Source organism: Homo sapiens, chromosome 6 (genome assembly GCF_000001405.40).
Source record: "Homo sapiens chromosome 6, GRCh38.p14 Primary Assembly".
Lineage (NCBI taxonomy): Eukaryota > Metazoa > Chordata > Mammalia > Primates > Hominidae > Homo > Homo sapiens.
Window position 1 is genome coordinate 134,829,474 of NC_000006.12, and position 23,170 is coordinate 134,852,643.

The 23,170-nt window shown below is 43.1% G+C and overlaps 1 long non-coding RNA gene across 2 annotated transcripts in view, besides 1 other annotated feature; it reads right to left on the reverse strand.

The window, feature by feature from the left end:
• The window catches only part of LOC101928277 (uncharacterized), a 205,476-nt gene that overhangs the window by 155,585 nt on the left and 26,721 nt on the right, over window positions 1–23,170 (reverse strand). The gene's annotated exons all lie outside the window — the stretch shown is intronic.
• Window positions 21,337–21,870: an enhancer, noted in NCBI's record as "NANOG hESC enhancer chr6:135171948-135172481 (GRCh37/hg19 assembly coordinates)". NCBI's record gives its function as "activates a minimal SCP1, AML or CMV promoter by ChIP-STARR-seq in naive H9 embryonic stem cells {active_cell/tissue: H9 hESC(naive)}" and the evidence as "EXISTENCE:reporter gene assay evidence [ECO:0000049][PMID:30033119]".

Genomic DNA, 23,170 nt, shown 5'->3' on the forward strand with positions numbered 1-23,170 from the left:
ACTAGGCACTGAAAACGGGAACTTTACCCAGCAAAGGCTGGCCACCCAATATGCCAATGGGCCCATATTGTGGGTGTCAGAAGGTTGTGGACACTTATAGGCAAAAAGAGAATCCCCCTGTGAGAGGAGGAAAAGAAGGGAATCATGTCTGGAGGGGGCAGGAATGAATGGTCAAGAGGGGTTTTATTCTCATAATATGAGCTTTAGGAAGACTGGGACATTCAGGGCATTGGGGCTCTCTCAGGAGACCTTTCCAGAGCATTCCCTGTAATGCCAGTTTGCATTGTATTTTTATTTCAAGGTTTCATGACTTGGCAGTGCATCCATCCTCCCCAACGAGCCTCTGGCTGGTATTGTTGGCCATCTCTTGCCAGGGGGATCCATGGTGTTCTGTGATGCTAGAAGTGGCTGTCTGCCCTATAACTAGAAAGTTCCTATAAGCCACAGGCAGAGTCTCTCCCCTCCTCATCTCCAGCCAGCAGTGGCCACTATCCAACAGAGGAGGGTGGGAAGCACATCCATCGTGTTCTCTTGAACTTAGAACACTCAGCTCTGTGAAACCAGCCAGGATTGATGGTGGACTCCCCGGCAAGGACCATGTTCCAGCCACAGCCACAGCCACAGCCACAGCCACAGCCACAGCCACAGACAAGAAGTTAATGATAAATTCACACTACTGGCAATGAAGGGATTGAATATCTGAACTCCCCTCCTAGAAAAACAAGAGCCTGCGTTGTCAGACACAGGCCAAGTAGGACCAAGAGTGATTTGGTGCTGGCCCATGGATCATGGAGCTGAGGATGAGCAAGGCCAGACTGAACACCAAGCAGGCAGTCCACATGAAACAGCCATTGCCAAGGACAACGCAGAAACACGATCCATAAATATTGCAGGCAGGAAGTTAGAAATCAGAAATGCTAGATGAGTGCTAGAAGCTAGAGCTAAGAAAGAACCCCCAGAGCTGCTGGTACATAGCTGTGGCCTTCTCTGTAGGTCAGCGGGCAGGCTCTCAGGGCAGGTCAGGCCAGGCACCTGGTGAATCATGGCCTGTTAACACTACCAGCCATCCTGGGTGTTAATGAGAAGCAAAAACTGTAGTTTCCAGTTGAGTATGTTATGCAAGGTTGGACAGAGTTCTGGCTTGTGAATTGGGCCACTTGAGTCCATTTCTTACTTACCAGGGACAAGCAATTTCTAACCCCAGTCTTCATGATCTCTGACATAGAGATTCAGCCTCAAGGGGAAGGTAAGATGATGAAGTCAAGAGTGTCTGGAGGTCACCTGTAGTGAGCCGCTTGGAGAAATATTTTATATTATTGAGCTGTCAGATTTTTTAAATCTGCAGCCAACATTTCAGGTTGCTGATGAGAGTCCACATATATTTAGTGTAAAAGGCTTTGCAATAGGAGTCAGAAAATCTGACTCTGGCTCTGCCACTGATTAAATTCTCCAATTTCCAGTCTGTGGTGTCTTCCAGAACTAATATCCTACAATTATTCATAAATCAAGCTGCATATTGTGATGAAGGATGCTGGCAAAAGACAGGCCCATATGGGCGCGTATAATCCCCCTAAAGTCAATTATTAATGAAGTCTTCAGCTGGCAGATGCTGTAGGCAAGGACTGGTCTGGTGCCAACAATGTGATCTTCTGTTCCCATTTACAAATCAAGGCTATTGTAATCAATAAAGCCTTGTTAAACATTACTAAGGGAGTGGGCAAATGGTGCAGAGTTAATAACCTCTTACACATGCTATTGTGTTTTTTTCTTGATCCAAAATGTCCTCTTCTCTCTCTGCTGAATCTTTTTTCTGCTGCAATAGATGCTTGCACTAAACATACTCTAATTCAGTTACCTCTAATATTAGGCATTATTTATTTATCATTTATGCTACAATTCAGAGAAAGCCATTTCACACTGATGCCTGGAACTGGCCCCAGTTTTGTTGCTAGAATAATAATTAGGGGTTTAGCCAGCTTAAGTGAATTGGAAAGCTTTTGATATTTTAGAGAAGACCAAGAAATGTTAACTAAATTATTTATTGTCTCATGGTGAAAGCTACTCATTGAACAACTATATGATGCATTTTGGTATTTGTTTGAGTTAGAAAAATCATTGTCCATGGCCAGGCGCGGTGGCTCACGCCTGTAATCCCAGCATTTTGGGAGGCCAAGGCAGGCAGATCACTTGAGGTCAGGAGTTCAAGACTAGCCTGGCCAACATGGGGAAACCCTGTGTCTACTAAAAATACAAAAAGTAGCTAGGCATGGTGGTGCGCCACTGCAATCCCAGCTAGTTGGGAGGCTGAGGCGGGAGAATTGCTTGAACCTGGGAGGCGGAGGTTGCAGTGAGCGAGATCGTGCCACCGCACTCCAGCCTGGCAACAAAGCGAGACTCTGCCTCAAAAAACAAAAAAAAGTAAAAAAGAAAAATCATTGTCCACTAATGGTACAAAAAATTTAGATTGGGGCTGGACACGGTGGCTCACACCTGTAATCCCACCACTTTGGGAGGCTGAGGCAGGTGAATCATTTGAGGTCAGAAGTTTGAGACCAGCCTGGCCAACATGGCAAAACCTCATCTCCACTAAAAATACAAAAATTAGCTGGGCGTGGTGATGCGTGCCTGTAATCCCAGCTACTCAGGAGGCTGAGGCAGGAGAATTGCTTGAACCCAGGAGACAGAGGCTGCAGTGAGCCAAGATCGTACCACCGTCCTCCAGCCTGGGCGACAGAGTGAGACTTTGTCTCAAAAAAAAACAAAACAAAACAATTCTCTAGATTGATGTTCTGTATTCAGTTGAAAAAGTGGAGGATGAATTTGGACCAGACTGCCCAGTGGAATCTCGCTCATCGGGACTCCACTATCTGAATATCTGATTACTTTGATTTTTGAAGATGCAACATTAACTTTGTACTTTCATGCAGAAAGTGCCTTGGTAATGCTAGAAACAGCTAACCCATACACAGAGCTTGCTTGTGCCTTCCCCCATCTAACATCTTTACATACACTAACCTGCTTAATCCTTACAACAACCTTAAGAGACACATGCTACTAACACTTCCAGTTTACACATGGGAAAATTGAGAAGGTAACAATATTGTCTCATAAACGGTAAACCCAGGCAGCCTCATTCCAGGATCCCAGAACTTAGCCCATTTGTCCCTAATGTACATTTGCATTTTGTTTTTGTAGAGAGCCTGTCATAGGCTGAAACTTCACTTATTTAGAAACAGAGAATTCGTGTTTTCTAACAGCACCAGAGGATCTTGGCGTTGATAGGATCCACAGAGACGTTCGGTCCAATCCCTGCCACATCCCCTCAAGGGGAGCAGCCATCTTCCCTGTCCTCAACCTAGGAACAGGGACTCACTACATACATCCTGTAGCACTCTTCTCCCATCTCAGAGAGCTGGGACCATTGGAAATGGCTTTCTTTCCTTAAGCTGAAATGGGCTTTTTCTTTTTCATTTTTCTTAGAGACAGGATCTCACTGTCACCCAGGCTGGAGTGCAGTGGCCAATCTTGGCTCACTGCAGCCTTGAACTCTTGGGCTCAAGCAATCCTCTTACCCCAGCCTCCCAAGTAGCTGGGATTACTATGCCAGCTAATTTGTAAGATTTTTGTAAAGATAGGGATCTCATGATGGCTGGTCTCAAACATCTAAACTCAAGGGATTCTCCCACCTCGGCCTTGCCTAATGATGGGATTACAGGCATAAGCCACGGCCCCCAGCCTGAAATATATTTGCTATAATTTTACCTGCTGGCCAGAATTTTGCTCTTGAAGCCACATGAAGACATGGACTCTGTCTTCCTCTTAACACCCTTCAAACATCTGGAAGAGTAATTATGCACCATCCTGAATCATATTTTTCCTGGCTCATCACTCAAATGCCCCTGTTTCAAGATCCAATGATTCTGATTGCTCCTCACTGGGTGAACTTTGGGGAAAATTTCACTTGAAATGCAGGACCTGGAGACAAAGATAGTGTCAGAGGCCTCAAGGATTGCTCCACAACTGTGGACCCTTCTCTGGTGCTGACCTAGACCTAAAAGCCTTCTGCAGGACTCGTGGCCATGCCACACTGCTAACTCACAGCCAACTAGTCACCCACCCCTGCTCCAGGGGACTTTTTTTCATATTAAATGTTTATTAAATCAAATCTACCCCATTATATGTGTATTTTTAGTTATCCTTTTTTTTTTTTTTTTTTTTTTTTGAGACGGAGTTTCACTCTTGTTGCCCAGTCTGGAGTGTAATGGTGCCATCTCAGCTCACTGCAACCTCTGCCTCCCGGGTTCAAGTGATTCTACAGCTTCAGCCTCTCGAGTAGATGGGATTACAGGTGACTGCCACCACACATGGCTAATTTTTGTGTTTTTAGTGGAGACGGGAGTTTCACCATGTTGGCCAGGCTGGTCTCGGAGCTCCTGACCTCAGGTGATCCACCCACCTGGGCCTCTCAAAGTGCTGGGATTACAGGCATGAGTCACTGCACCCGGCCTAGTTATCCTTTTAAGCACAGTGTAGGATTTAATATTTATCACTAACGGAGGGATCCCTCCTCAAGTCCACAGAGAGAAAGGGGGAGGGAGGGTGGGTTAGGGGAGGGAGGGAGGAAGAGAAAAACAGAGATTACTGTGCACTCATTTCACCCCAGGAGACTTTTCTAGGTACAGTAAAGAAATTCAAAGGACCTTTAATTAGCTCACAGATATAGTGAGTTATTTCATAAGGGAAAAACAAAAACATAAGACGATATTTGCAGAGAGCTAAGCTGGACCCTAAAATAAAGGTAACTAAAGCTAAAGCTCTAACAACTTTCAGAGCCCGGGGGTATTTTCCTAGACCGTTTCCCTTGTGGAAAAGCAATCAAATAGATGCTATAATTTTAGACATTTTTTGAAACAGGAGTCAGCCTGAACGTCATAGATGCCAACCTGAAGTTTGTGGTATGTGGGTCATTGTTTTGTCACATGTGACACGGTTTCCACGCACAACAGGTTGAATTTAGAAAAACTTGTTAATAGACTAGCAGTCAAAGCCAGAAGCAAGTCTGAAAGCTAGGCTGATAGAAAATAAAATATCCCTTGATGACATCGGCAGAACCAATAAACACACGACCTCAAAAGTAAGGAAATGATTGTTCATAGTTTTAGACACTAGTTCTCTATGTTGCATAAGCTGTGTTTAAATAATTCATAGCAACACAATCAAGATCCCACATGCAAACTACAATAATTCTGTGTGTACGTACCAAAGGGGTTTAAAATATTAGTATGTTTGGAGATGTTTTTCATTTTCCTCCCATTTTCATAGTCTTCAAAATCACACAACAGATTTTGAGTTTAAAAATCAACAGGGAAAAATGGAACACTGATTTAAAATAATAAGAAAAAAATGGCCTAACATTTAGAACAACAGCTTCTCCCCCTATCTGTTGCAAGGTGGAACTAATTGGCTTGTTACAAAGCGGGGAGCTGACTTTAAATTATAATGTAAGGAAATGGTCATTACTAGATGTTTTGAAACTTAGTGAGACAATATAAAATGCAAAAGCAACATCATAGAAAAGACCTTACTATTGTGTTGACTGATAAGAATCAAAAGCAATAGACCTAGGATGCCTGAAACACCCACTATCCCCAAGTGAGAGGGAAACTGAGTCAAATAACACTTTCCAAGGAGGTGGAGGAATTATAATGAGGACGTATTCTTTTCTGACACTTTCTTATCTTTCTTCAAGGGCATTTTGTACAGGGAGTTACTAAAGCTTGACATTCTCTGGCCATAATAATGGGAGGAACAAGAGCAGGACCCCTGGTGAGCTGAAAATCAGGAAGGAGTTGTAGGGAGAAGAGTGGCCAGTTTTTCCAGGTGTCCCATGATGATATTGACTAAGACATCAATCTCCTTGGCAAAGATGGATAACCTCTGTTTTCTGTCTCCCTAGGGCACAAAGACATCCATATTGACACTGTAACATTGGCCATGGGAATAAAAGAAAGAAAATGAGATTAGTACTTAACACACATGATTTATTTTAATCAATTTTAATACAGTTCCCATAAATACAAGTAGAAAAAAGGAAAACTGTCTTGTTATTATTTAGAGAATTTAATGATGGTTGCAGGGGAAAGGTCATACTGAAAATTCAAAGTATCTAACAAAAAGATATAAGCAGAAGATTTTTTCCAAGACTAGTCTGTCCATGGGCAGTAAAATACATATATCAGAAAAAGAAAAACATGGATGTGCTTGTGCTTTGTAGGTAAGTCACCCAGCTTTCTGTCTTTTCTTGTTCTATCTATGCTTTCTTCAATTTCTATGCCTACTAACTCCACGAGGGTGTGATTTTCATTTTAAATACATTTTAAGTATTCGCTCAGTTGAAAACTATCCCCCAAATGCAAATCAAACATAGATTATATAAATTCAGTTTGCAAAGGTCTTAATTTTAAAAAATGAATTTGTGGATCCAAAGGTAACAAAAATATGTATTCTAGTCATCTCCTCATTTTTAACAAATATAAATATATCCATGAGATTAATGACCTATGAGGAGTTTTGTTTGCTCTCCAAATGACTTAGGAATCCAGGAAGGAATGCTGTTGGAGGAGGTTTTGGCAAGGGTTTTGAGTGCAAAACACAAAAACACACAATGGGAGTTGGAAAATATTTGGAAAACTCAAAAAACAACAGCTTGTGCTAATTCTCAGCTGATTTGTGGCTAGCTTTCACTTTTCACTTCAGTAGGACTGATGGGAAAAAACACCAAGGGCCCTGTGGCCTGCTCTGGTGACAGATGTTTTATTCTAATGCCATTGTTAAGAGAAACATGGACCGTTCGTTGTGGCCTGAGATGGCTGTGTGTTTATTAGGAAACAGAAAATGTAGCAAGTAAGACAACCTTTCTCTTACATTAAAGACAATCAGACACAATATACCAGATTTGTGAATATAGCTCCCCTGATGTGAACCCCATTTTCCAAGATAGAAACAAACAATAAACACAAACAAAAGAAACACCCCATAACACAGAACTACAGCCAAACACTTTAATAAAACATATCACATAAGTAACTGATATTTAGACTAGTGATTTTGAAGATTTTACAGCCCCAGAGCCATTTCTGAAATTCCACATGTAAGCTCACTGTGACAACAAATAAGGGTGGTGCTGTGCTTGCTGCAGCCTGGAAGTGGCCCTGAGCTCTGCCTGCCCAGGTCCTTCTTGTTCCCAGGGGCCTAAAGAACCTAAGTTGAAGAGCCACTAATTCAGAGAGATTAACTACCAATGGATTTTTGGAACATATCCCTGACACAAAAGTACTTAAATATTTAAAGGCAGCATATGGCCCTCCATCCAAATAAAAAGTTTTTAAGAGAATATTTTTATTCAATTAAATGAATATTAAAAAAATCCTTTAGCCTCCTATTGTATCTGGAGCATTTTTTCTCTTAAAGAGATAGAACCACATATCCCAAGTTCACTTAGTGGCACCAACCTTCACTCCTCTTCTTCCACATCTCTCTATAGGGCTTACCCACATTTCTTCAGTTGTCAAGTTCTGCTTGTTCTAGATCTCAAACACCTCTCAATTCCATCCCTCCTTCTTCATTCCCACAGCAGCTGTCCTAACTTAGGACCTTATCAATTTTCCATGTAGATCCCAGGGTGATCATTCTAAAAGCCAAAAATATGGATTGCTTCACTCGCATGCTTGAACTCCTCCACTGGTGCTCCTGTGTTTACAATCAAGTCTGCACTCCTTCCTAGGGCACCCAAAATCTGTGTGGACCTGGATCCCAGCTACCTGTCAATTTCATGTTCCCATACAGGGAGACCACCCTCATCATCCCATGAACGCATTTGCCTCCATGTCTTTGTACTTTGCTTGCCGCTTCCAGTGCACTTCATTTCAAGCCTTTCCACAACCCTGAAATCATTTTGCCTCCTACCTTTTCCATCATTTAAGACTCAGCTCCTAGGCTGGGCACTGTGACTCACGTCTGTAATCTCAGCACTCTGGAAGGCCAAGGCGGGAGGATCATTTGTGGTCTGGAGTTCGAGACCTGCCTGGCCAACATGGTGAGACCCCCGCCTCTACTAAAAATACAAAAATTAGCCAGGCATAGTGGCACATACCTGTAATCCCAGCTACTCGGGAGGCTGAGGCAGGAGAATCACTTGAACCCAAAATTGCACCATTGCACCACTGCACCACTCCAGCCTGGGCAACAGAGAAAGACTCCATCTCAGGAAAAAAAAAAAAGACTCAGCTACTATGTCGTCTTTTAAATCCCTTCTTCTTTCCTTAAATGAAGTAGAAACTTTCTTCTTTATGCAATCTGAACATATTACACAATTCTTTTAAGCGTGTCTCATTGTATTATAATCATCTACTGACTAGTTTTCATTTTTTACATTGTGAGCTCTTTGAGGACAGAGATTCTTGTTATTCATCTTTGTGTCATAGAGTTTAGCTGGGACTTAGTAGCACTCAATACATGCGTAAGGAATTAATGAATGAGGGAATAAACGCATGTGCGTTCAACCTAGAATACAGATGCTGGGAAAATTCAGGGAGGGAGTTTAACAGATAAAAGGTAAAGACTTCTATCAACTCACTTTAGTAAAGAGGATGGATAAGCTCAGCCTTGATCCTGTTCCCAGACTTAATTATTCATTCATATACTCATTCATTTATTTAACAAATATTTGTTGAGTGTCTACCATACTTCTTTTTTTTTTAACTTTTAAGTTCAGGGATACATGTACAGGTTCTTTTACATAGATAAAACTTGTATCATGAGGGTTCGTTGTACAGATTATTTCATCTAATAATGGGTACCAGGTATTAAGCCTAGTACCCATTAGTTATTTCTCCTGATCCTCCCTCTCCTCCCACCCTCCACCCTCTGATAAGTCCCAGTGTGTGTTGTTCCCCTCTATGTGTCCATGTGTTCTCATCATTTAGCTCCCACTTATAAGTGAGAACATGTGGTGTTTGGTTTTCTGTTCCTGTGTTAGTTTGCTAAGGATAATGGCCTCCAGCTCCATCCATGTCCCTGCAAAGGACATGATCTCATTCTTTTTTATGGCTGCTTAGTATTCCATGATATATATATACACACACACACATATACACACCACATTTTCTTTATCCAGTCTATCACTGATGGGCATTTAGCCTGCCATGTTTCAGATACTGTACTAGGCACTAGAGTTCTACAAATAATAAAATACTCTTTCTGCTCCCAAGGAATACATAGCCCAGAGGTGGGGGTCCGAACTTGTATTAGTCTGTTCTCGTGCTACTATGAAGAAATACCTGAGACTGGGTAATTTATAAAGAAGAGAGGTTTAACTGACCCACAGTTCCACATCCCTGGGGAGGCCTCAGGAAACTTACAATCATGGCAGAAGACACCTCTTCACAGGGCGGCAGGAGAGAGAATGAGGGCAAGCAGAGGAAATGCCAGACACTTCCAAAACCATCAGGTCTTGTGAGAACTCAGTTACTATCACAAGAACGGTATGGGGAGAAACTGTCCCCATGATTCAATTATATCCCACCTGGCTCCTCCCACAACATGTGGGGATTATGGGGATTACAATTCAAGATGAGATTTAGGTGAGGACACAGCCAAACCATACTAGACATGCAAAACATAAGTGCCATACAGAACTATGAGAGCCACAAGAGAGGAGGGGGCGTAATGCAAGTTGAAGGAGAGTGTGGTGTATCCCACTGCCCTATGGAAGTACTGTCTAAAGAGCGTCCTTGAAGGTGAGTGTGGCAGAAGGCACGTTGACCAAGGGAGATGGTAGGTGCGAATGCCATGGGGCTAAAGAAGTGTGCCACAGGTAAGAGAAATGGACATAATGTAAGGCAAAATTGTCACAAGCCCAGACTTCAGAAAGCAGACCTGTATTGAAAATTCAATTCTCCACATGTGTAACCTTGGGAATGTTATACCTACTGTAAAATGGAGGTAAGAATAGCGCCTACCTGATAAGAATGTTGTGAACATTAATTGCAAAGTAAGTGAAATCCTACCCGGGAGGCCCTTGGCACAGTATGTGTGGCACAATGATCGTGAGGATGGTTGCTGGAACTACAGCAACAAGGAACAGAACAAGATGAGTCTAAATGAGGTTGGCCTGACCCCCAGTGAAGAAGGGTCTTCTGCACCATGCCAAGGAATTTTAATCTGTAAACACTGACTGAAAACCTAGGAGGAATTTTAAGTAACACAGTGCTAAATAATCAGATTTGCGTCTTAAGATCTCTCAGTTAACTGTGTGAAGGATGAATTTAAAACTAGCACAAGAGAATAAATGAGGGCTGAACTGAGACAACAGCTGGGGCATGGTGAGGAGAGGACAGATTTTTGTTGTTGTTGTTGTTTTTTGAGACAGAGTCCTGCTGTCACCCAGGCTGGATTGCAGTGGTGCAATCTCTGCTCACTGCAGCCTCCACCTCCTGGGTTCAAGTGATTCTCCTATCTCAGCCCCCAAGTTGCTGGGACTACAGGTGCACGCCACCACTCCTGGCTGATTTTTTTTGTATTTTTAGTAGAGACGGGGTTTTACCATATTGGTCAGGCTGGTCTCGAACTCCTAACTTCAGGTGATCCACCTGCCTTGGGCTCCCAAAGTGCTGGGATTACAGGCGTGAACCACTGCGCCCGGCCAAGAGGCCAGATCTTGTAGACGTTAAGGAGTAGAAACAATAGGACTCACCCACCAGCAGTTGGTGAGAGGGGTGGGTAAAAGAAAGACAATGACCTTTAGATTTCTGGCTGAAGTGGCTGAAGTGGGAAATCATTAACCAAGAGAAGAAACACAGGAGGTAGAACCAACTGGAGGGGAAAGAAGAGTTTCATTTTAGATGGTAAGCTTCTCACCCTATGGCATATCTAGGCAGAGCTGCCAGTAAATTATTGATAAGTGAATGTGGTGCGGGCTGGACTTACAGAAAGGAAAGCAATAGCATATTATTTATCATCACTTCAAGCTATAGAAATAGAAGTGTTTACCTGGAAAAGCAGTTTAAAATCTGAGGAGAGCAAATTACTACGTTTTTAGGTAACTAAGTCATGGGGACAAAATATCTTAAGAATGAACTCTCTAAAGAAGAGACTTTGACTCAATTTCAAAATGGCTGGAAGGAATCCATCCTGCAGTTCTCCAGCTGGAACCACTGAAAAAAGACATCATAAGGCTTTTTGTGTCTGGGATCATTTACAAATTGTTAAACATTGTCTCAGTAGCAGAAAGTAGATCTGAAAAAGTTGACATTAAGCTTCACTTTGGGAGAGTAAGGGTAGCCATACTGGGCTGTGTAAAGATCTCAAGATTACTCTAGAAATAACCAGAGTGCCTTAAACTACAATATTAAGCATACTTCATTTAGCTAGAGATGTCAGCACATGGTGGATATGCTGAGATGGTTCAAGTAAGTGAAGAGTATGGAGAATGTTAGCCACTCCTTTAAAATACTCAAGTCATGGGGAACCATAAAGAGGAAAAATCGGGTCCATCAATAGGGAGATGGTTTTAAAAAAATGTGGGGGGATATATACAATATCCCAGCAATTTTTTTCATACTCTCATACATAGAAATTAATTGTGACCAAATTCTTATTAACATATTCTGATGTATTAAAGATGTTCTAGGACTACAAATATACATATTACATGTTAAAATAAAGTTATAATTTTTTTTGAGACAGGGTCTGGCTCTGTCATCCAGGCTGGAGTGCAGTGGCATGATCTTGGCTCACTGCAACCTCTGCCTCCTGGGCTCAGGTGATCTTTCCACTTCAGCCTCCTGAGTAGGTGGGACTACAAGCATGCACCACCACACCTGGCTAATTTCTGTATTTTCTTGTAGAGACGGGTTTCACCATGTTCCCCAGACCAGTCTTGAACTCCTAAGCTCAAACTATCTGCCCACCTCAGCCTCCCAAAACACTAGGATTACAAGCATGAGCCACCACACCCAGTCTAAATTATAATTTTTATCATGCATTTGTTAAAGTCCTCTAGAGATGTTAATTCTTTTTTATATTTCTTTTTACTTTTTGAATAAAGACAAGGTCTCCCTATGCTGCTCAGGCTGGTCTCAAACTCCTGAGCTCAAGGCATGAGCCACTGCACCCAGCCTAGAGTTGTTAATTCTGCCTTACAACTGCTCACCCATTTCCCCTATCCCTGCCCCCACCTCCAAAGAACAATTCTATCATATTCCCCATTGTTATCTACTGCCTTTACACATTTATACCGTTTGAAGTTATTTATTTGTTTATATATTTATTTCTCCTCCTCTCCATAAGAATGAAAGCTCCATGAAAGGGAAGGAATTTGTGACTCTTCTCCATGACTGTGTTACCATCTCTTCGCACAGAACCTAGCACACAGTTGGTACTCCAAATGGGTATGTTCAATAAGTTGAACAAATGAAGAGAGTTTTTGTTTTTTAATAAGTTTTACCATATTAGAGAGGACTTCTCTGGTCACCCTATCTAAAACACCATCCCTCAACACTTCCTGTATCTTTACCTTCTTTTTTCTTCTTAACATTCATCGCTACCTGATAGATTCTGTATTTATTGGTTTCTGTCTGCCTCCCCCATAAGCATGTGAGCTCCGTGGCCACAGGCTGTTATTCTCACTGCTGTACCCCCCGGTGCTTAGAACAGTACCTAGCAAGCTCGATGCTGGGCAAAGCAGGTTGCATAAGTCAGTGAATTTACATAAAATTTGGATTACATGCTACAGTTCTTTTCTGTATATGCAGTACATTTTTTTTTCCTGTCCTAATTGTGATATATTGACATCATCATCGTTCTATTAATCCTAGTTCACATACATCACCTAGGTGCTGTGATAAGTGTGAAGCTTAAAGTCGGTGATAATTGTGCTGGCATGTTTCTCCCTTGCCAGATGCTCTACTTTTCCCTCCTCTCTTCCTCCCCAGGCCTCTCCCCCAAACACTCACGAACCCATGGCCTCATGCTCTCTCCAGTCTTCTGGATCAGCAGATCCAGGCAGGGCCCCTAATCTGAACTTCCATCTTTATCATAATTTACCTCTCCACTTCTCTGTGTATTGACAACCATTTTGAGTAACTATGTACTCCCTGCATTACAGCCATCACATAATTCATTCTTCATAACAGCCCTAATGAGTAGTCTATTAATACTACCCCTCATTATAAGCAAGAAAACAAATCCTAAACTTGAAGAACTTGTAAAGATAATACAATTTTGTGGCTGGGTACGGTGGCTCACACCTGTAATCCCAGCACTTTGGGAGGCTGAGGCAGGCGGATCACCTGAGGTCAGGAGTTCAAGACCAGCCTGGCCAACATGGTGAAACCCCGTCTCTACTAAAAATACAAAAATTAGCCCGGTGTGGTGGCAGGTGCCTATAATCCCAGCTACTTGGAAGGCTGAGGCAGGAGAATCGCTTGAACCTGGGAGGCGGAGGTTGCAGTGAACTGAGATCGCTCCATTGCACTCCAGCCTGGGTAACAAGAGCAAGACTTGATCTCAAAAAAAAGAATAGAATTTTGTTTATAAAGGTCCAGTTTTAAGCTTTGATGTTTATGTTATATATTGCTTTTCATCCACGGTTCCTGGTTCACAACTCCCAAAGCCCTTGTTACCATCTTTTGTTATCATGTTGGGTGTGTTGGGCCTCACGGGCAGACCTCAGGATATAGAATCTCTCTCCTGTCTTCCTTCCACTGGCCCCAAGGCAGGACTCTAATCTTCCCCCACCTTTCTGATTGTAGGTCCTAAGACCCTCCCAAAAGAGGGTCCTGCCCTATACACTGGAGGAAGGGATGCTGACATCACAAAGCTTCCATAAAAACCCAAGAGGACAGGGGTCAATAAGCTTCAGATAGTGAACATGTGGAGGTTCCTGCAGGGTGGTGCCCCAGGGTGAGCATGGCAGCTCCTCACCCCTTCCCCCATACCTTGCCCTATGCATTTCTTCATCTGTATCCTTTGCAATATCCTTCATAATAAACCAGTAAGCGTTTCCCTGAGTTCTGTGAGCCACTCCAGCAAATTAATGGGACCCAAAGAGGGGGTTGTGGGAACCCCAACTCGAAGCCAGTAGGTTAGAAGTTTAGGAAGCCTGGACTTGCTACCGCTGGTGTCTGGGGTTATGGGAAGCAGTCTTATGGGACTGAGCCCCCAGCCTGTGGGATCTGACGTATCTCCAGGTAGATAGTGTTGGAATTGAACTGGAAGACACTCCACTGTTGTCCACTGCTTGGTGTGTGAGGAAAAACCCCCACACATTTGGTCACAGAAGTCTTCTGTGTTGACGATTGTGGTGCTAGTATGAGAGGAGCAGGAAAACATGCTTTAAGACAGTTTTTCCTACATCATGGCTCTGATCTAAAAGCCTATGTGTCCTTCCCACAATTACCATTACCAAGTGTCAAAGACCAACAGTCCCCAAACTTTTTGGCTGGTTTCACGGAAGGGACTGGCTTCATGGAAGACAATTTTTCCATGGGAGTGGGGTGAGGGGAGGGGATGGTTTTGGTATGAAACTGATCCAACTTCAGATCATTAGGCATTAGATTCCTATAAGGAGCAGGCAGCCTAGATCCCTTGCATGCTCAATTCACAATAGGGTTTGTGCTCCTGTGAAAATCTAATCCGCCACTGATCTGACAGGAGGCAAAGCTCAGGTGGTAATGCTGGCTCACCTGCCTGCTGTGTAGCCCAGCTCCTAATAGGCCATGGACCGGTGGCCTGGTGTTGGGGACCCCTGTCAAAGACAACCCAAGGAGGCTGTTGCTGAGAATAGCTGACTGCACACTTTCTCTTAGGGTAAGGGAGGGGTGTGGGGAGGAAAATTTCCATTTTAATATGATATTGCCTGAGATTTAATACTTCAATACAAAGGAGTATATCTCAATTCTGGGGCTTATGGGCACTTAGGCAGATTTGTGCAAGACACAGTCTTGATCAAGACACTTCAAGGCAGCTTCCTTTTAATCTTACTATGTAAGAAACCACCTTACATGCGTGTTGCCAAGCCTGGTAGAAATTAGAGTAGAAAGTGTTTAATTAATGATGTGTTGCTTTACCTCCCCAGCTGAGCCAAATTATCCTCCAAGATCATTAGAGCCCGGTTGGAATAAACTGGCTAATATGAGCACTGAGCATTTCCTAACTTATGAAATACTTCTATTGCCTTTTATATGTCTTAACTATTTTTTCCTACTTGACTATTTTAGCCATAAGATATAGAATTCTAAATTTCAGAGACAGGCCTGAAATTTAGAGGCCTCACTGAGATCTGGCCCAACACCCTAAAGTCACCAGTTCTATTTTCACTTTAGTAATGGAAGGCATTTTTTTGGTTGAAACATTTTTTTCAGTAAGGCCTTATCAAGAACTCAAGGAACAATCGAAAATATTAGTGGGTTTTTAGGCCGGGCACACTGGCTCACCTATAATCTCAGCACTTGGACCAGGATTTGAGATCAGACTGGCCAGCATGGTGAAACCCCCTTCTCGTTAAAAAATACAAAAATTAGGCAGGCGTGGTGGCACATGCCTGTAATCCCAGCTACTCGGGGGGCTGCGGCACGAGAATCGCTTGAACCCGGGAGGCGGAGGTTGCCATGGGCCAAGGTCACACCACTGCACTCTAGCCTGGGTGACAGCAAGACTCTGTCTCAAAAAAAGAAAAAAAGAAATAGAAATATTAGTGGGTTCTTGACTTGGTTTGTTTCCCCTCAAATTGAGGCTGTTTCTGCACAATTATCTGAAGTGTCCTTTTTTTTTTTTGAGATGGAGTCTCACTCTGTCACCCAGGCTGGAGTGCAGTGGCACGATCTCGGCTCACTGCAACCTCTGCCTCCCGGGCTGAAGTGATCCTCCCACCTTAGCCTCCCAAGTAGCTGGGACTACAGGTGTGCATCCAGGTAATTTTTGAGGGTTTTTTTTTTTTAAGGCAGAATTTCACTATGTTGCCCAGGCTGGTCTCAAACTCCTGGGTTCAAGCAATTGGCCTGCCTCAGCCTCCCGAAGTGCTGGGGTAACAGGCATGAGCCGCCACGACCGGCCTGGATTTTACTTGATGGGAATCCTACAAGGATGGGAAGGGAGAAGATAGTATATGAAGCAATGAAGTACATTTTCCAGCTTGCCATCTCCCAGATTTCAAATAAGTACTTACACAATCCTGTAGATGTCAAGATTTAGAGTGTTTTATCGGCTGACTTGCTGGCTTTCCCTATAACCAACTGACCTACATTAAAAATGTGTTTAAGTGGCCATTAAAGATTTAATCTCCTGAGTGAGTCAAAGATGAAACTCAAGGTTATTCAACTCTAAAGAGACATAGGGCACCTGAGAACAGGGAATAGCTTCGATGAAACCAGCCAGATGCATTCAACACACATCAAATGAGAAACACCTATGAGCCATGAGAGAGAGGACAGTCAGTTTTCTTCCCTTGAGAAGGCCTGGATGACATCCCCGTCTGTGCCTTTTCCTGGTGCCAGAGAAGAAGGCGTCTATATCCAGAGTCACAGGAGATGAGTGTCTCAGAAGGCTCAGGCTGGTTGTCATTGACTCGTGTGTCCAGCCAAGCAGTTGCTTAGGGCATCTTTGCTGAGCTTCTCTGCACCAAGTGCTATGCTCCAAGTTGGAGATTCACGATGAGCAAAACCAGATGTGAACTTGCCCTCTTAAAGCTGACCATTTTGTGTTGAAGACAGAATGTAATCAAATCATCTCACACATGAATATATCATTACAAATCCTCATAAGTGCTATAAGCAAAGAAATAGAGTTCTGCAACAAGACAGAATAAAGACGTCGCAGACGTGACAATTCAACAGAAACACCAGCAGACATTAACCAAATGGTAAGGGGCGGGGGTGGCTTCCAGGCAGAGGGAACAGCATGCACAAAAGCCTCATGGTAGCAAGGCCACTGGTCCAGATAGCATCTGTGTGCAGATTAGAAAACAGTTACCAACTCCTCAATCCCTTTGCCTCTACTGGAAAATTGTCGTAATTTACTAATTTTGTGTTAGAGCAAGACTTTTTACTGCAAGCTTCCAGAAAACTGTTTAGACAATTCTGTAATACATCATCTGGAGTGTTCATGGCAGAACCCTATGCCACCTGATACCATAGTGACCAGACGCCTGTGGCTACTGAGCACTTAAAATGTGACTAATTGAGATGTGCTATGCTACAAAATACACATCAGATTTTAAATATTTAGTGTAAAAAATATAAACTATCTCAATTATTTTTACATTGATTATATGTTGAAATTATACTATTTTGACATATTAGGTTAAATAAAACATATTCCTTATTTCACTTGGTTTTTGCTTAGTTTTATTTTTACTTTTTAAAAAAGGCTACAAGAAAATTTAATTTAAAATTCCATTCGTGGTTTGTGTTTTGAATGATATTTGTATTCAACAGCATCAGTGCACCCTTTGATAGGGCAGCCTTGGGTGCTGCACAACCTGCCAGACAATACCACACACCCTGCATGGCAGGACTGGACATGACAAGCACGGGGAAATGAAAGGAAGCCAGAGTGATGGTCACACTGAGGGCAAAGGAGAGAGCAGTGCAAGATAAGGTAAGGCCAGGTCATGCCAAGTCTCGTCTTCTAAGCCTGGAGAGTTCAGTAAGTTACACCTTTTGTTCCCTGTTCATGGATATTTCCCTTGCTTTGAAGTTTGTCCATTCAGTGATTTATTTGAAAAGGATGGATGAACAAGATAATCTCTACTGTTAAGGGGTGCACGGTTGAGCAGGAGATGAAGGCAAGCAAGCCAGTCTTCAATTGCATATGAAAAGTCTGTGCTAGGCTAAGCCCCCAGCACTAAATAATTGTGTGCTGTTATTGATGGAGATGCCAGCCAAGAGAATGCAGAGAGTTCAGCAAAGACTTGTGCACCATTCCTGAGAAAAGGCATCAGCACACACTCTTCTGACGCTGGGCTCTCAGTCCGGAGGGGCAGCACACTGCCTGGGCGAAGCCAGGAAAAATGGAACCTACCCCGCCACTGCTCCTGGAGACTTCTCAATGTCACGTGTGCATGTTTCTTTTCGACAGAAGGCATGCACAATTCTCTTTAGCATTCTGGATGAATATAAATTATGTCTCTGATCATACCTTCTAATCAGAAAAGAAATCTAGCCAGTACCTTTAGGGGTTCATCAAAAAAGGGTTAGTAAAGCTTCCCTTGAGAATACTAAGAACAGAAGTTGGGTAAACCAGAAGCCAGAGATACAAGACTGTGTGATATGGAGCCCAGAGCAAATCACTTGTCCCCACTCCCACCAAGAGAGTATCCATTCTTAGTAAGATGAATCCGAAGAACAGTCCTGAATAATAATAATACTGAAACAATATTAATTCTATACCAGACACTGTGCCATGGCATGTACATTTATTAGTTCATTTTATCCTCTCAATAAACTTTATGAAATGTGTAGAATTGTACCTATTTTAGTAGTAGGAAAACTGATTCACAGAAACATTAAATGATTTGTCAAGTCTGGTGGTTAGATGGAAGGAAAGTGCTATGAGAGAACTGGAGGCAGAAGAGAGGGCTTTGCTGTAACCCAGGAACAGAGGACTGCAGTGAACTTGCTATGTGTACATGAACATCAGACATTATAAAGTATGGCAGGCAGATCCCTGCTTCTCCATCGAGACGGGGCCTCACAGTGCAGTATGTAAGGAAGCGGGAGAGGAACGCACAAGGAGGCTGAGAGGGAGGCCGTTTCCTGGTTCTGATGCCATCCTGGGAGCTCTGAGTATGCTCTCTTCTCCGTGAGAGGGAATGTGTTCAGATGGAAAGGAAATAGACTTGGAAGTAAACCAATAAGTTGGATTCTCAGGTTTTATATTGACCTGTTTAGCAACCTCAATAAAGTCATTCCAGCTCCCTGGAAATGTTTCTGAATCCATAAAATGAAAAGTTAAGATTGACTATACCAGATACTGCTACAAGCTCCAACAATCTGTAATCCGTGAACAAACAGTGCCCAACAGGGGCTTTCTCTAGCAGCTGTGGACTCAGAGAAGCTGGAGCTCTGGACCTGAGTTCTGTCCCTCCAACAATGTGCCTCTGTTGTTTGATCTTCAAATATTTTTGAATCCTGAAACACACTCTCTTTTTCTTGTAAATTTCTCACTAAGAAATTAATGAAAATTATATAAAAATATTTTTGAGAATAAATAAAACTGGCTGAGGAATAAGGAAAATTGAGTTCTGGAGCAGCTAAGACATGAATTCCTTGTGTGATGTTGAACAAACCCCTCTCACTCTTCTGATTTCCCCATAGGTCAAATGGGGACTATATTATAATCAAATGACGTCGTGAATGGAACACACTCTGAAGAGTACAAGGATTGGCACAAATAAATGTCTGACTTACTGTTGCCATTTTAATTGTTCATTTATCAGACTGAAGTATCTAGATTTAAGATAAATCGCAGGTATAATGAAGGCCTTAATGCCCACCTTAAGTGTTTTGTACTTGCTGGGCCATTTAAACTTCACAACGACACTCTGAGGTAGGTGTTGTGATTGTCACCATTTTACACCTCTTTTTTTTTTTTTTTTTTTTTTTGAGATGGAGTCTCTCTCTCTGTTGCCTAGGCTGGAAGGCAATAGTGTGATCTCGGCTCACTGCAACCTCCACCTTCAGGTTCAAGCAATTCTCCTGCCTCAGCCTCCCAAGTAGCTGGGATTACAGGTGTACACCACCATGCCCGGCCAATTTTTGTATTTTTAGTACAGATAGGGTTTCACCATGTTAGCCAGGCTGGTCTTGAACTCCTGACCTCAAGTGATCCACCTGCCTCGGCCTCCCAAAGTGCTGGGATTACAGCAGGCATGAGCCACCGCCCCCAGCCCACACTTCCACTTTCTAATGGAAGCAAGGAGAGTCTAAATAAACCTGCCCAAGGGTATACGGGTGATGAGTAGCCACACAGGGCTTCAAACCCATGCAATGGGTTTGTGCTAGTCCTTGTACTCTTCTTACCCAGTACCCTATCTCACCTCTCAGTTCACATGGCTTAGAGCACCAGGTGCCAAGCATGTACCTATGTTTCACTTGTTGGGGGGGAGGGGGGAGGGAGGAAAGAAAGAAGAAGGGAAATCTAAGGATAAATTAGAAGACTGGACGTTATATATTTTGAAGTATTCAACAAAATAGAAAGTAGCTAGAGCATTATTTCTATGCATTATTGACTTAAAGTGAAGGTCATTTTAAAGATCTTCAAAGTGACTCATTTTTCTTGCACCCAGAGATCAGATGTCTGATTTTAAAGCATAAAACAATTTGCAAAATTGCTTTAGTCTATTTCTTACAGAGGACCTAAATTGGATGGTATTTTGTGCTCATAATAACCTTTAAGGTCAGCATGCATTGAGACAGCTGCCAATATTGCATCAGAAGTGAGTGCCAAGCTTGTTTGTCCCTCCCACCCACTGGAAGTTCTCCTGGAGAGGTAGAGGCTTATGGGTACAGACCAATCTGCAGTGAGAAACACCTGTGTGCCCCAGCTCTGAACAAATAGGGTGAATTGACATTGACGTCAGCCACTGTGATGGCACAACAGTTAGGTGGGCTAATCTGTTTGTGCAAATGACCTTTGCTGCAGACGAAGCCCATGCCAACACTCAAGACTGGGTCACCTTAAGCTCCCACATTCATGTGAACTCTCTGATGGTCTTTTCAGTATCCTGCCTGCAGTGACCTTGCTGGAATCCAGAAGGGGTGCTGCGCTGCAGGCCAGAGGCAGACCTGGGAGCCAGACTGCCAGGTGAGGCGCCTGACTCTGCCATGCTCCTGCTGTGTTGCATTGAATGAGTCACAGGACTGTTCTGTGCCTTGGTCCCCTCATCTGTAAAATGGGAGTAGTGATAGTATCCACCTCAGGGGCTGCTGTGAGGGTTAAATGGGTGAGCACAGGTCAGGCTCTTAGAACAGTGATTGGTACACAATAAACACGAGCTGCCACGATTGTCATCCAGAGCATTGCAGAGCCGTCACTTTTCACCCGTTCTCATCTTAAGATGGCACAACTATATATTAATTTTTTAGAGATATAATTCACAAAGCATGAAATTCACCATCTAAAAGTAAACAGCTCATTGTTTTTTGCATATTTTCTATATTGTGCAACCCCACCACTATCTAATTCAGGATGTTCCATATGACCCCAAAAAGAAGCCCTACCCGATAGAAGTCACTCCCTACCCCTTCCGCCGTCCCCTCTCACCCATGAGTCTGCTTTCTGTCCCTGTGGATTTGCCTATTTGGGACACTTCATATACATGGAATCATACAAATATGTGGCCTTTTGTGAGGATGACACAACCATAAAAGAACGCTTTACACTTTGGAAGCAAAATAATAGGATCCCTCCACCCCTTCCCTGCAAAATAATAAAGCATCAGCTGCATCTGCTTGTGGTAACAGCCTCTCAGTGGGCTGACAGGAGGAGGCTCAGCTTGATTCGGGTTTTGAAACATGTTAGGCTTTGAAGTTCATTTTCCATCCCACGTAACACAACAGAGATGCAGAGCAGCAGGCCTATTGTTCCAGCCTCCCCCTTCCGCATTTTCCACAAAGGTCGGCAGAGTACCCTGACGACTAAGTCTCATTACTGACTACGAATCTTCCCTGCTAGGGGACTCCCTCCTTCAGACCTGACCTATAGAAGGAGACTTACGGTAGAAGCTTCATGAAATGATAAACTCTTTGTAAAACTCATAACAGGCCCAGTTAAGAATCCCCATGGGCTTAAATCACATGAGCAGTGGTTCTTTAATTATTTTGTATTTTTAGTAGAGACAGGGTTTCATCAAATTGGCCAGGCTGGTCTTAAACTCCTGGCCTCAAGTGATCCACCCACCTCGGCCTCCCAAAGTGCTGGAATCACAGTCGTGAGCCACCGTGCCCAGCCAGTAGTTCTTGCTTTAAAATATCCTGGAGTCATCTCTTAGCCTGAGAGATGCTATTTAATTGCTTATAAGGGGGTAAACCTCAATATTGCACTTAGAAACAAATAATGCAGAATAAAAGACATCTCAAACTCATTCTCAATTTGGAAGAAAACAAAAGTATGTTGTATTGGTTTCTCAAATCCCTGAGATCTTGTGGAGAATCGCAGCATGGAAGGGAGGAGGTTATAGCCAGAAGTAGGGTAACATGACCAGCCGTGAGTTAACAGAAGGCAGGCGGTGTCAACCTCTGGACCTTCAGGACACTTCCCACAAGCAGCCAATGAGCCATGGTGCGCTGATGGGGAACAGCCCGCCCATCTCGGTGACACAATTAGGGGTCTAGTTTCAGAAAAGCCTATTGAAGATATATGTTCATGGAAACCATGCTAAAATAAATTTATATTTTGTAGCTGAGACTTCTGGGCACCTGAATATAATTCACTGTGAATATTTGTTTCACTATGATGTTTTTTTGCATTGCCCAAACATGAGACTACATAATTTTGTTCAGGCAGTGTGGTAAAAAGACTGATACACTGGGACCCAAAACACCTCAAGCAAATCTTGACTCATTCATTCAATGTCCTTGTGACTTTAGACAACTACTCTTATTTGTCCTGAACTTCTTCAAATGTAAAACAACGACAATCCCCCAGACTCCTCCGGCTCTAAGAATTTACCAGAATTTCTCTGACTGATGAATTTATGTGAGAATGTAGCATCAAAATCAAGCCTCTCTGGGATAAGCTCCCACACTCAGACTGAGGTCCAGGAAGGGAAAAGCAAGTGGTGACTTCTGGCCCACTGAGCTTCCGTTCATCAATAAGTGGTCTGAGAATTGAGTAAAAATTCCAGAAAGCCACTGGTCTTCAGTCAAGCAGAGACAGGATTAAATATGAAAAGTAAAGGTTGGGTGCAGTGGCTTACACCTGTAATCCCAGCACTTTGAAAGGCCAAGGTGGGCAGATCACTTGAGGTCAGGAGTTCAAGACCAGCCTGGCCAACATAGTGAAACCCCATGTCCACTAAAAATACAAAAAAATTAGCTGGGCGTGGTGGCACGCACCTGTAGTCCCAGCTACTCGGGAGGTTGAGGTAGGGGAATCCCTTGAACCAGGGAGG